The sequence below is a fragment of the Homo sapiens genome, chromosome 6 (genome assembly GCF_000001405.40).
Source record: "Homo sapiens chromosome 6, GRCh38.p14 Primary Assembly".
Taxonomy (NCBI): domain Eukaryota; kingdom Metazoa; phylum Chordata; class Mammalia; order Primates; family Hominidae; genus Homo; species Homo sapiens.
The window spans coordinates 134,380,261-134,395,041 of NC_000006.12; the positions used below are offsets into that span (position 1 = coordinate 134,380,261).

Genomic DNA, 14,781 nt, shown 5'->3' on the forward strand with positions numbered 1-14,781 from the left:
TAAACAGGAACAAAATGAATTCTGGCAAAAAAAAAAAAAAAAAAAAAACTGGTTATTTTTTAAATGTTTATTTGAATGGGTAAAATCAAATAAAATAGCCAATGGATTATTATTTATTTATTTATTTATTTGAGCCAGGCTCTCACTCTGACGCCTAGGCTGGAGTGCAGTGGCATGATCTCAGCTCACTGCAGCATCAACTTCCTGGGCTCAGATGATCCTCCCACCTCAGCGCCTCTGTAGCTGGGACTGTGGGCGTTCACCACAACACCAGGCTAATTTTTTTGTATTTTCTGTGGAGACGAGGTTTCGCAATGTTGCCAGGCTGGACTTGAACTCTTGGCCTCAAGCAATCTGCCCGCCTCAGCCTTCCAAAGTGCTAGGATTACAGGCGTGAGCCACTATGTCCAGCTGCCAATGAATTATTTACCTAAATTGAACAATTTTTTTCAAATGAGTCTAAAGATAGCCTAACACTCAATTTTCAATCCTCACTAAAGCAGGAATTCTCCAGCGCTCAGAGATAAACAAACAAACAAAAATCCAAGAAAAATATATGGAGCCTTCTTTTTATAATTTGAAATTCTGTAGGTAATTGCATCCCTTCTACCCAGATAAGCTTTCAGTTTCCAAGTTATTCTCATGCTGCCCTAACTCATTTTGAGGATGCAACATTTTAAAGATGAAAAATTTACTGCTTTAAAGAATAGGAAGAATAAACATCATCCATCTTCTAAGATGGACAGCCTTGTCATTACCTCACCTGCTCTTTCTGTATATGCACAGGACTAACATAAATAGTTACACTGAGCCTTAAAGAATTATGCTTTGAGAAGTGATTTAGAAAGAAATAGAGAAGATGAGGGGAGAGACTACAAAAAGGAAGATACCTTCAGCAGGGAGCTGTATGACATTACAACCGTAGCAAAAGCAGCTACTGTATTTAAACCTCCAAAAGAGTGCTGAGCCTGAAAACTTGAGATTTGAGGCACCACATGGATATGTAGCACCTTGGAATGATTTTTGTTCCTATTCTTCTTTTGACTGAGCTCAACTTTAATAGTAGTATTTCACTTTTATCTAGCATTTTATAGTTAACATAACACTTTCGTATAATGACTACAATTTATTTGGCATTAGATGTGTCATTATCTCATTTAATTTGCACAGCAATTGGATGACATGGATTCTACTATTATCCTAATTTTACAAGAAAGGCAGTGAAGCACAGAGAGATGAAGTAACCTGCTTTTTAGCTACGCTGCCATTCTGCACTCAAGCATCCTCTTAGTCTTCTTGACAAGCATATAAGGTAGATACCATCTACTGCTTGCTTAAGAGAAGAGCAATTGCTGATCAGGGAGATTGAGGAATGTACCCAAGGTCACTCAGCTAGTAGACAGTAAAACTGGGGCACAAAGCCCGGTTTAGATTTCTAAATTCTTCCAAGTTGCTTCTAGTGACACTTTTTTTTTTTTTTTTTTTTTTTTTTTTTGCAACTGGAAAATATGGGCTAGCTGGTGAAAGTTCAGGTGGCTGGCAATAATTTTGGTGTGACTCTGAAGTCTTTGAATCCTACTTCAAGACCTACGTACATGGATACAATAAGTATAATTTAATTTTATGTATGTATGATTATACTCTACAATATTTATACTGTTTATATTATGTATTTTATAAATTTTTATACTAAAATCCTAAATGCTAAAATACTAAAATCATGAAACAGTATTTTATACTATTTTATACTGTACTAACACCCTTAAGTTACTATGGTATGTGTGTACCTTAAGGGTGTCACTTATAACATTCTACTGTTTTTCACTGCTATTGTTCTCTCTGAAGGGTCTGGCACTGTGCCTGGTGCATAGCGCGTGCACAGTACATCATAAATGTTTCATGTATAAAAGAATGCACGTGCCTATTTAGGCACACACAGTACTTATATAGCTTATCTTTAAGATGCAGGAGTGGAGATTCAGACTGTCCTTGGATTAATGTAGAAAGTGAAGTGTATCAGAGACCATCTATGTGGTTCACCTGCCTCGCTGCATTCGGTTTTGCTTGTACAACAGAGCATGTGCTGCATGAAGCAGCAAGATGGCTGCTCAGTTCCGCAGGCTGGATACAGCAGGTCTGGTGGAAGGCAGTCCCAGCTGCTTAGATTTTGCCCATTCTCTCTCTCCAAAAAGTAGAATTGCAGACTCTATGGAACACAGGGGTTCAGGCTCACACAAACATGGGTGTTATTACAGAGCAACAGCAAATGCACTACTGATGGATGCAGCGGGTCACTTTACCACGTAATTTTTTTTTTTTTCTTTGAGACAGAGTCTTGCCCTGTGCCCCAGGCTGGAGTGCAGTGGTGCTGTTTCAGCTCACTGCAACCTCCGCCTCCCGGGTTCAAGTGATTCTCCTGCCTCAGCCTCCCAAGTAGCTGGGATTACAGGCGCCCACCATCACGCCTGGCTAAGTTTTTGTATCTTTAGTAGAGACGGGGCTTCACCATGTTGGATAGGCTGCCCTTGAACTCCCAACTTTGTGATCTGCCCACCTCAGCCTCCCAAAGTGCTGGGATTGCAGGTGTGAGCCACCGCACCCAGCCGACATTACCACATGTTTTTCTCATCAGAAAGATGAAGAGTTCAAGCTGTATGACCTGTGGGTCCCTTACAGCCCTAAGCTCTACACTGTATTGCCTGTGGGTATGCCACATTAGAAAAATAAATATCAGGCTCATCTCAGGTACGCCTTAGCAAACTGGACTCTTGAAACAGTACCATCACCATCTTCTTATTCTGTCGTGATGCAATAAACATGAAAAGCAGTGAGAAATGTCCTCTAATGGTAGCTTTGTTAATTAACTACATAGTATTCTAATTACCAAACAAACAGAATATTTGATAACTATTATGACCTTGGTGGGCTGATAAATAAATTGGATCCCAGAGAGGATTGGCTATATCAAGTTTCCCTTTGCTTTACCTAATCATTTATGTATACCTGTAGGCTCTGTGTGTGTGTATATATGTGTGTGTATGCGTATGTGTGTGTGTGTGTTTTAAAGAGTCATTTAGATAAGGAATGGTTGGGGTGGATGAACAAGATTATTAAACAGAATATGTATTTGGTTTGTTTTTTTCAAAATCAAATTGACTGTCATCAGGATATTATTTAGAAACCATTGCTCAGGTGGAGAAATGGCAGGTCAGGCCTTTGAATTTATGCCACTGGTCTGGGTTACTGACATAGAGAAAGTAAAATTTGATGATAGATTCTTTTAAGCCACTGGTTCATCTCCTTTGTTGGATTTATTCTTCCAGTTGATTTTATTTTGTTAGTTTATTTTTGATTTTGCTTTCTTTTTTTTTAATTTGGGAGTTGTCTTTCACTAAATACAGTTATTATGTACTAAATATATGTGTATTTTTCTGAGTGAATGTTGCCAAGTGTTCATCTTCAAAAATACAACACTGATCCTAACAAACATAAACATTGGGGTAGATCAAATTGAAAGAGTGCATAGATTAGCTCTTGATAAAAAACTACTGAAAACTCCCCTTTACAACTGGCTTTTAGTAGGAACAGGAATATCAATTTACCTTATGATCCAGGGTTTTTCAAATGTCTTTCGCCATGACCCACAGTAAGGAATATGTGTTTCTCATTGTGATCCAGAATATATGTGTGTGTATCTGAATAAAAGTTTCACTAAAAATATTTTTTCTTACTATGTGTGTGTAATGTGCTCTGATACTTAAAAAAAGAAACTCCTCTATGTTATTTTTTTAAGTGATGGCTGTAATTCACAAAATTGATTTATGACCCACTAATAGGTGGTGACCTGCAGTTTGAAAAATATGACTTAAAACCAGTAATGCAAACACACACAGAGAATTGTTTGGTCTTAGAGTAGATACCTATAAGTATCAATCAGCCATGTCATAATGGAACAGTTCTACTGTGAATGTTTACTTTTTAAAATCAGCAGTAGACCGTGTGCAGTGGCTCACACCTGTAAACCCAGCACTTTGGGAGGCCAAGGTGGGCGGATCATTTGAGCACAGGAGTTTGAGACCAGTCTAACCAACGTAGTGAAACCCCATCTCTATAAAAATGCAGAAAATTAGCTGGGCATGGTGGTGCACACCTGTAATCCCAGCTACTCAGGAGGCTGATGTGTGAGGATTGCTTGAACCCAGGAGGCAGATGTTACAGTGAGCCAAGTTAGTGTTGCTGAACTCCAGCCTAGGCAACAGAGCTAGACTCTGTCTCAAAAATAAAATAAAATAATAAAATATAATCAGCAGTAATATTGACGGTTTCCACAACAGCCAATGAAGGCTTAGGTCAGGAGTGTCATTATCCTTCCAAGGACCCTATTTACTCTCTGACATCAGTGCCTTTTTTGGGACCACAGTGTTTCTACTGAGAGTGGCTTTAACTAACCTGACTTGAGGAAAAAGATCTTCTTCCCATGATTGTGCCTCTGAATAGCCACTGCATCTAACCTGAGCAACACAGAAAGACCTGTCTCTAAAAAAGTAATATATTGCTGGTGTGCCCACTAATTTTCTCTTCCCATATACTATTCAACCCAGGCTAGTTTCATGTATTTCTTTTTGGCATTTCAAGCTTAAATATCTAGAGCCTTTTACATGCTCTGCCATACTTGAGAAATTGCTGCATTATCAGAATCAAAATCAGACACTGCACTGCCCAAAGAGACTTTGGTCAGAAGCAGATATATTCACTAGTCCTCTTGAATCTCTATGTTACATCGAAGCTATTTTCTGAAAAAAAGTCCAGGAAAAACAATACTCCAACAGGTGATGCAGACATAGGAACTGCGCTTTCCAGATGCTTCTGAGTGTTTTGGGCTATGCTTGTAAGTTTATGTGTATGAGGACTAAGAGTATCTAGAATAAGACTAGGCTGTTATTGCCCACATCTCATCTTCATCTTAAGGATGAAGCTGTTGCCAAGCACAGACTAGGTGAGGCACTGGTAAACATTATACTCAGTCAGTTCTGATTGATTTCAATAGGCTAGAAGTAAAAATTAATTCAAAAGTAGAGTCACTTTAACCAAATGCAAAATATCATGTGCCTGTCTCTGTCTTCCTCCAACCACCTACCTCTGGCCCATAGATTTGTTTGGGTTTGGCTCTCACAGGGTTTAAACAGCAACCAAAAATTGGATTTGTTGAAGTGAAAATTTGCATATAAAAATCTGATTTTTGGCACCTGGGAGATTTGGCAGCCCTGGGCAGCATTGCCCCGTGGGAGGGTGGCTGGATGCCACCCGTTTTAGATGGGTCATGGACTCAGACTCACCCGAACACTATTCAACTGACCACCTTCCCTCATGTTACTTTCCTGACCCATCTGTGCTTTTGAGTTTGCCCTTGCCAGATAGAAAGGAGGTTCAGTGGCACAGATTTTTTTTTTCTGTTTAACAGCTCTTATAAAGTTACTGTGCTATGTGGATGTTTGTGTAACACCTTGTATTTTATCAAGTATCTTTCCCTCAAGGCACTCAAAAAACTATGCAAACACAAAAGGGTTAATAACAACAACAACAACAAAACAACAGAAAGGCTGAGTAAGGTGGCTCAGGTCTGTAATCCCAGCACTTTGGGATGCTGAAGTGCCAGGATTGCTTGAGGCCAGGAGTTCAAGACCGGCCTAGGCAAAAAAAAAAAAAAAAAAGAGGAAAGAAAGAAAGAAAGAAAGAAAAAAGAAAGAAAGAAGGAAGGAAGGAAGGAAGGAAGGAAGGAAGGAAGGAAGGAAGGAAGGAAGGAAGGAAGAAAGGAAGGAAGGAAGGAAGGAAAAAAAAAAAAAAAAAAAAAGCAAAGAAAAAAGCCAGGCATGGTGGCATACACTTGTAGTCTTAGCTAATTGGAAGGCTGAGTGAAGAGAATCCCTTGAGCTCAGGAGTTTGTGGCTGCAGTGAGCTAGGATTGTGCCACTGCATTCCAGCCTGGGCAACAAACAAAGACCCTGTCTAATAAAGAAAAACAAAACAAAAAACTACCGATACCTCTTGGCTGGGCAGACTATAATATCCTAAAGAATTGCAGAGTCTGGGTAAATGCCTGATTTGGAGGAAAGTGCCCCAAAGGGCAGCCTGTCCAACCTAAGGGGGTCCTTGTGACCCTTTGATGGAAGCTGAGCAAGTGAGTCAAATGAAGATGGGAAGAAAGCCAGTGGGAGCAACAACTACCTCTTCAGCTTCCAGGGATTTGCTAGGGAGCTTGCTACAGCCATACATACGCCTGGTAGGTCTTGTCCCAGAGGACATACGTTTTGAGATGAACTCAAACACTTGGAACGAACTCAAATGTCCATCAATGATAGACTGGATTAAGAAAATGTGGCACATATACACCATGGAATACTATGCAGCCATAAAAAAGGATGAGTTCATGTCCTTTGCAGGGACATGGATGAAGGTAGAAACCATCATTCTGAGCAAACTAACACAGGAACAAAAAACCAAACACCGCATTTTCTCACTCATAGGTGGGAATTGAACAATGAGAACACTTGGACACAGGAAGGGGAACATCACACCCCAGGGCCTGTCACGGGGTGGAGGGCTGCGGGAGGGAGAGCATTAGGAGAAATACCCAATGTAAATGACGAGTTAATGGGTGCAGCACACCAACATGGCACATGTATACGTATGTAACAAACCTGCAAGGTGTGCACATGTACCCTAGAACTTAAAGTATAACAAAAAATAAAAATAAATAAATAAATAGAGACCAGCTAGAGATAGTTTCTTTAAAAAAATGGAGCCCATTCTTGAACTCTGGACTCAAATACTAATAAATGTAATAAAGATTGTTTATTTATTTATTACATTTATGACCTTACTTAATTTCCAGTTTATGGCAGGAAGCTATATATAATTTTCTTATATTTTTTATTTAGTGAGTAGTGAAGATACAAAATGGACTGTTATAAGATAGAGGTATTATTACTGAATGCTTTCTGTGTGCTTAACTCTTTATATACTTCATACATTGCCCATTCAATTCAGCCACCAACTAGCCTGAACTTAGAAATGAGGAGCTGACGGTCATGGATATTGATTTGCTTATGTAAGGTCACACATTTTTTGTTTTGCGGTTAAGATCATACACATTTTAATCTGAATCCCATATTGTTCTCTTTTCTCTTCAGATACCTTGGATTGAGCCTTAGAGTTTTTTTGCTCCTCTGCAATGAGACTGTTTTATCTTTGACCGTGATCCATCAAAATGGGACGGCCTTTTTCCACTTGATTTCAATTTTTTTTACTTAGAGAGAATCAATTTTTTAAATGCTTGTTATATGTATAGTTTTTTTCCTGGTTATAAAGTCAATTAGGTTCATTTGTTCAAATTTGGAAACTATGAAGGAGCACAATGAATAAAATAAATATCACTCATAATACTATCACTCAAGATAACCCTACCACTCAGAGATAACCACTGTTAATACTACATGGTTTAAACTTTTTTTAATGAATATATATAACAAATAAAATTAGATTCATGCTCTATATGCGATTTTATAATAAATCTTTCTACATGCCAGTAGATAACTGTTTCTATGACACAGTTTTCATGGTTCCACAATATCCTACCTACAGATACAATAATATAACATCCAGGTACCATTCCAAGTACCCTAGAAGTATTTTTTTTCTCTCTCTCTCTCACTGTCTCTCTCTCTCTCTCTCTCTCTCACACACACACACCCACACACACACACACACACACACACTCCTATGTAGTAGGTGGCTTTATTATCCCCATTTTACATATGAGAAAACTAAGGCCCACAGAGGTAACATGGTATAATTTGATTTTGTTCAATAGCTATTAAACAATAGAACTCAGATTCAAACCCCTGTAACCTAGATCTACAGCAATATTCTTAGCCCTTCAGTTTGTTAAGTCTAACTGAGCCTTCAGAGGCCCCTGTAAAACTAGCAACTGGATAATTAAATGCTTCAATACAGCACTACTTGAGTCTGCTTCATTGGAGCAATGCCATGGCTCTTTTTACCCCTTTGTCTCTTCATTTTCTTCATTTATTTCTAGCAGTAATTATCTTGTCCATCAATTAAGACTGTGTGTGTAGACATATACCCCACCCTGTGTCTTAACAGGTTCAATGGATGGTAGAGAAGAATAATTTTCAGATTATTTTTCCCCTTCCTTCTTTTCTTTCTTTTTTGCTAGAACTTAGTTGTTTGATTTTATTCACCAGGACCAAGTTGGACCAAAGCACAGACAATATTCTGAGAAAATAGGAAGCCTGATTTCATGGTTCTAAATGAAGTCTTCAGGCATTTCAAAATAATACACCTTACAGCTCCAAAGAACAAAGATATTGAATGGAGAGAATTTTCAAATATTATAGGGCTTTTCAGGTGGCTACTTTACAAATTGAAACATGTCTGTAGCTTAAAAAGCAAAAATTTTTTTTTGAGACGGAGCCTCACTCTGTTGCCAGGCTGGAGTAGTGCAGTGGCGCGATCTCAGCTCACTGTAACCTCCGTCTCCTGAGTTCAAGCGATTCTCCTGCCTCAGCCTCCCGAGTAGCTGGAACTACAGGCATGCATCACCACACCCAGCTAATTTTTGTATTTTTGGTAGAGACGGGATTTCACTGTATTGGCCAGGATGGTCTCGATCTCTTGACCTTGTGATCCACCCACTTCGTCCTCCCAAAGTGCTGGGATTACAGGTGTGAGCCACCGTGCCTGGCCGAAAGCAAAATTTTATAACCTAAGTTGTCTCTTCAGACATTCATAGAAACTATGGGAATTCCGTGCAAAAATAAGTCTTGTCTTCAAAAAGGAACTTGGAAATTTTAAAATATAAGGTGGTATTTTGTTTCCAAGGGCTAATATTGAAACAGTGAACCACTAAGGAAACTTCTGGATGATATTAATAGTAGCAATAATGTTAATTTTCTGGAGTCAGCCCACTAAAAATAGGAAGTACACACTTCCGCAATTGGGCTAAGAAATGAGACAGCTCATTGATCCCAGATTTGGTTGATTGCGCCAGTCTGGCTGCTAAACGGTTTCCCAAATGGGTTGTGGCATAATGGAGACCAGCAGAGAAGATGACAAAACCATCAGCAGGACCTGCCATTGAATTCCCCCAAGACCTTGCTGTGAGCACTGCTATCACTGAATTTGCATATAGCACTGCCAAGCTATATATAATAATTATTGTATATTTATCTCATTTTGCTCCATTAGGATTATTTTGCCTATGAATGATTTTAAAAATAAGAAAATTATTAAGAGAAAAGAATTTTGGAGTGATTTGAAGTTTTATTTTATTTTATTTTTTTAATAGAGACAGGGTTTCACCATGTTGCCCAAGCTGGTCTTGAACTCCTGGATTCAAGTGATCTACCTACCTTGGCCTCCCAAAGTGCTGGGATTACAGACATAAGCCACCACACCCAGCCAGTGGTTTGAGGTTTGAATCACAACTCTGTCACATATTGTAATGGACATCTGGTGTTTTTCCCAGTCCCAGCACCCACTCTTTTCTGGAAGCAGCACCTTTCTTTTTCCTTGGGGAATTACCCCTTTCCTAGTTTGTGCCAATAATCAAGATTCGTGTCCTCCCCTGAAAAACAGTGTCATGTGGCCCAAGTGAGGCCAATCAGATTCAACCTCACAAATTCCAGTTGCGAGCCAGGCGATCAGGAAGAGATTGGAGCTGATCATCCCTCTGGCATGTTCCTGAAGAAATGGGCCCACTCATGCCTGCCATCTGGATGCTGGAAATTACTCTATTTCTTATTCTTCCCATGATCCAGTTGTTCACCTTTGATTCTGTAAGCTACTCCCTTCCAATATGTTTCAGTTTACTTATGTTATCTCGAATCTGTTTCTCTTGTTTGTAATCAAAGAACTTTAATAGTCTAAACAAACTAAATAAATTATAACTGTAATCTCCATGGACTACAACAAATTTAAAATACCTGATTCAGTCTAACAGCTTTATAATGATGGCTTCAAAATATTTGACAATTAACAATACAGTATTTTTAAATTTATGATAAAAATGACCACAGAATATTTAAATAATCTTTCTAAAAAGTTAACCTCATACATAACAATGCTGAAAGTAATGCCTATTTCCCAGACTTGTAAGAATTAAATGAGCACATGTCTGGAAAATGCCTGGTACAATGCCTCCTCAAGTAAGTGATCTGTATCTATTGGCTGTTATCACTACACAATATCTGCCAGCATGAACATCTCAGTCCAAGGCAAGTTTAAACATTACATGAGTTATGCTAATAGTACTCCATAGAGTAACTTCTCTGAGTTCTTGGCAATGCAGCAATACCTGTTAGAAAGTTATATTTAGGTTAGAACATGTATCTAATAATTAAAACATTTTAGCAAAACACTGATCAAACTGGTATTCAGATATTTATTTATTTATTTTTATTCTGTAGAGTCAGGGACTTACTATGTGGCTCAGGTTCTCCTACCTCAAGCAATCCTCCTGCCTTGGCCTCCAAAAGTGTTGGGATTACAGGCATGAGCCACTGTTTGCAGCTGGTATTCAGTTTGAATAAAATAGCTTTGATCCATCAAAAGACAAAGAGCTAGTCTCGATAAAAGCATCTAAGCAAACTTTACACTATGCAAGTGAGCAGTTTTGAATTTATGGTATTTAATTCTGAATAAAGTAGTGATCTATTGGAAAGACACATTCAGATGAATGCCAACCAAGTAAGTAACTAATTTAGTCATTACTTCATATCTGTTTAAACAGAGATGCATACATGGTCACATAATAGGGCCATTTGGAATTGTTAAGATTTTGTGGCACATGCATGTGCAGGAAATTCAAGCAAAATCCGAAATGTCCTTAGCCATTTGTTCTAATTGACTCATAAACCTGAATGTTTAGAGGTTGGTACATCATTAGTCTCACTCTAGTAGGCATTTGGCATAAAAAGTCTTTAGTTAAAGCCTCTCCTGCTGAAGCAAAGGTTTAAAACTATCAAGTCACTTGTCCCTGCCACCTCAGTTTTTTCTCTTTATTTTTTCCTATTACCTAGTGCAGAGAAAGTGCACTGGTGACCTATTTTCCTGAGAGCCTTTCCAATGAGCTGACATTACAACACGACAAAAATCATTCTGCCTCCTCTGATGAGGCAGTCCAATTTTGCTAGCAGAATGAGAGGGGAAAGGTATTATGAAAGGCACTGTTGCTTGCTCATCCAATAACCACTTTCTCCTTGCAAACCACAGAATCCTGATTTTGTTAGGATCTCTAAAACTCAAGGCAGGTGGTGAACTCCAGGGAATGAATCTCATAGATCTTAGCCAGTCACGGTCATTCAGTTCCCCCTTGCTATTGTTTGTTCTAACATTTGGCAGGGGGGCCAATTTCTGGCTGAAAAGATGTAACGTAAAATGTGTTGGCAGGGGGTGGGAGGTATCTCGGAAATATTTTTTTTTTCCCTCCGCTAACCAAGAAGCAGCATTGACAGATTTTCTTCCTGGTTAGAAATATAGAGATTTATGAAAAGTCCTTTGCACCCCAAAGCTTTCTTCTTGTCTTAGAAGTAACTAAGTAAGGATAACTTGCTTGGAGCTGCATTGATCTTTCTGTAACCAAGAAGTGACAAGATGACTGGATAATAAGCCAATGTACTAAAGATGGCAGAGTAAAAATATAAAAAGAGCCTGAATCCTTGATGTCATTTTGAGCTCCTGTTCCCTAAATGGAACTGGAACAGCCCACCTCTGGACAGCTTGTTAGCTATTTAAATGTATTTGTTACCTTTCTGTTACTTGCATCTGAAAGCATTCCTAAGGGCATTAGCATTTATATACCATCCATACCCCCTTCAATTTGAAAGGTTTTATGTCACCAGGCAGTAGGATCATGATCTGACAATAAGATGAAGAGGAACTGGTAAGTTCCTGCAATATAATCTTTCAAAGGTGAGTGCAAAATTCTGTTCAGTGTTTACTAGTCGCTATTGGGGGTAGTTTGTATTTTTTAGAACTGTCAGATTAATTAACTCCTGGTCCCTAAGATAGCAAGCTTGGTTGACAGGAGGTTTTGTTTTTGTTTTGTTTTGTTTGAGAAGGAAGGTCTCACTCTGTCGCCCAGGCTGGAGTGCAGTAGCACAATCATAGCTCATTGCAGCCTCCACCTCCAGGCCCAAGTGACCCTCCCACCTCAGCCTCCCAAGTAGCTGGGACCACAGGTGCATGCCACTACACATGGCTAATTCTTTTCATTTTTGTAGAGATGGGATTTCCCTATGTTGCTCAGGCTAGTCTCAAACCCCCGGCCTCAAGCAATTCTCCCACCGTGGCCTCCGAAAGTGTTAGGAATACAGACAAGAGCCACCACGCTCAGCCAGGAAGAGTTTTACAATAAGGGCCAGTGAATGAGACCTGTAATGAAAACACTCAAGAGTCTCATTAGAGAAAACTTTAGAATCAGGATAAAAGAAATCAGTTACTATTAGCATAAGGCTTGGAACTCAAGTCATTCTTATTTTTGGAAGACGATCACTTTATTCTAAGTAACACACAAATAAAATAATAACAGCTAGTTTAACAGAATAAAATCATAACAGCTAGTTTAAGGAGGCCACACAAACATTGGCCCAGCCCTAAATTCCTCACCATCTTAATGAAATTCTACATAGTAAGAACAGCGTCTTCCATTTTAATTCTGAAGGAAGAAAGCTATGAATGACACCTGAGAGGTTTAACTGATGGTTACTCTTTATCTCTTCATTATTAATTATATTTTTATACTAAATTAACTTGGTTATGAGAGCTGATTTTCCATTTCTCCAATTTGAACTTCTCGATTGGGCCAATCCATTTGCAGGTCTGCACTGTTTCAGCACCTCACTGAAACCCTCACGGAGCTTTATGTCACCCGGTTCCGGGCACACTCCAAAAACGGTTTTATCTCATAGAAGCAAGGCTGCTGCCGCTGTGACATCTGGGTTCCCTGGGGCTCCTGGTAGGTGATGTCAGGACTTGCAGGCTCAGCATTACTTCCTTCATTGAAGCCCCCAGTGATGGTATGACCCACCGTGTACCCCACGCCAGCTCCAGTGGTTGCTATCCGGGCCATCAGACCTGGCTGCCTGGGCCCAGCAGCAGGAGGGCCAGCTGCAAAGGGGGATGCCGCTGCTGGCAGCTGAGCTGCTGGTGCTGGCCTGGCTGTAGTTCTTTAGTTCTTTTTTTTTTTTTTTTTGAGATCAAGTCTCACTCAGTCACCCAGGCTGAAGTGCAGTGGAGTGGTGAGATCTCGGCTCACTGCAACCTCTGCCTCCTGAATTCAAGTGATTCTCCTGCCTCAGCCTCCTGAGTAGCTGGGATTACAGGCGCGTGCCATCATGTCAGGCTAATTTTTGTATTTTTAGTAGAGACAGGATTTCCCCATGTTGGCCAGGCTGGTCTCAAACTCCTGACCTCAGGTGATCCACCCATCTTGGCCTCCCAAAGTGCTGGGATTACAGGCGTGAGCAACCACGCCCAGCCATGAGTGCGGTTCTCATGTGAGATACCCGGCTGGCCTGAATGGCCACGCGGGAGGTGCGGCTCTGGCTTCCACATGGCATCCTAGGTGCACTGCAGCTTGGCGTCTGGATGTGCAAAAATCTCTCAAGTCATTCTTACAGTATCTTCAGAAATTAGGAGTGGGGCATTTGTTTGCATAGGAAGTGGCACAACTTTGAATATACATGAAACATTAAAAAATAAAAATAAAAGAAAAATATTTTATTACTATAAAGAGAACTGTAGCTTCTTGTATATCCATGTACACATAACCAAAATTTTCAGGAAGAGATACTTATTCTTTTATTGTGTGATGTACTCTTATATGTTCTATTCTACTCTTTTTTTTCTTTCAATTTAAAAAAAGTGCTGGTTTTAACTTACTGGAATAATTTCACAACCCACTAATGAGTTACCACTTGCTGTTTGAAAAGCATTAAGATAATTGCCAATGTAGGTTAAAGATTTTCTGAGTTAAACTGACTTGAATAATAGACTTGAAAGACTTGTGTTACTTACGTAGCAGGAAGTCCAAGATAGGGCAGACTTTAGTGTTCCTTGTCTTCATGTACCCAGGTACTCTGCTCTGACTTCTACAGTGTCAGTTTCACACTCAGGTGACTCCTCCTGAAGTCATAAGAGGCTGGTGTCTTGAACACTCAGTTATTCCTTCAGGCTCCTCTCTGGACTTCTTTCTCTGCTCTGTGACTTGTATGGCTTACATGAATAAGATCCCTTACACCCTGGCTTCTGTTTGGATTCAGCTAATGGGGATTGCTTGCGGAACTTGAACAGAAATAAGAGAATAAATTTGGGGCACTTATTCATCTGGCTTCTTCCCTGCGCAGTCAGGCTGGATTGACCACTTTTCATAACCCAAGTTCACAGCTCCCCTCCAGTGGCCCTCTCTATGCGACTTTCTCTGGGGTTCTGGTAACCCTGCTCATTGTGGTTTTGGACACAGATGTGATGATGGTTCTCCTGCTCCGTGTCCTAGTGTGCTGCTTTGTCCTATGTGCTTTCACTGTACCCTGCTCATGCCCTTGAATGCCTTTTATTATTAAATCATTCTTGAATTATTCTAATTTGAGTATGGCAACTAAATTTTGATGGGGCTCTGACTTAATACCAGCTGCCAAAAGTAGTTGTGTTCACTATCACCAGGGGAGGGAGAGATTGGTTCTTTACCAGAAGCCCTGGGTA

The 14,781-nt window shown here is 39.8% G+C and overlaps 1 pseudogene, besides 1 other annotated feature; it reads right to left on the reverse strand.

The window, feature by feature from the left end:
* Positions 233-292: a silencer, noted in NCBI's record as "silent region_17559". NCBI's record gives its function as "represses an Ori minimal core promoter by ATAC-STARR-seq in GM12878 lymphoblastoid cells {active_cell/tissue: GM12878}" and the evidence as "EXISTENCE:reporter gene assay evidence [ECO:0000049][PMID:35858748]".
* Positions 12,882-13,249, reverse strand: CHCHD2P4 (coiled-coil-helix-coiled-coil-helix domain containing 2 pseudogene 4; annotated as a pseudogene).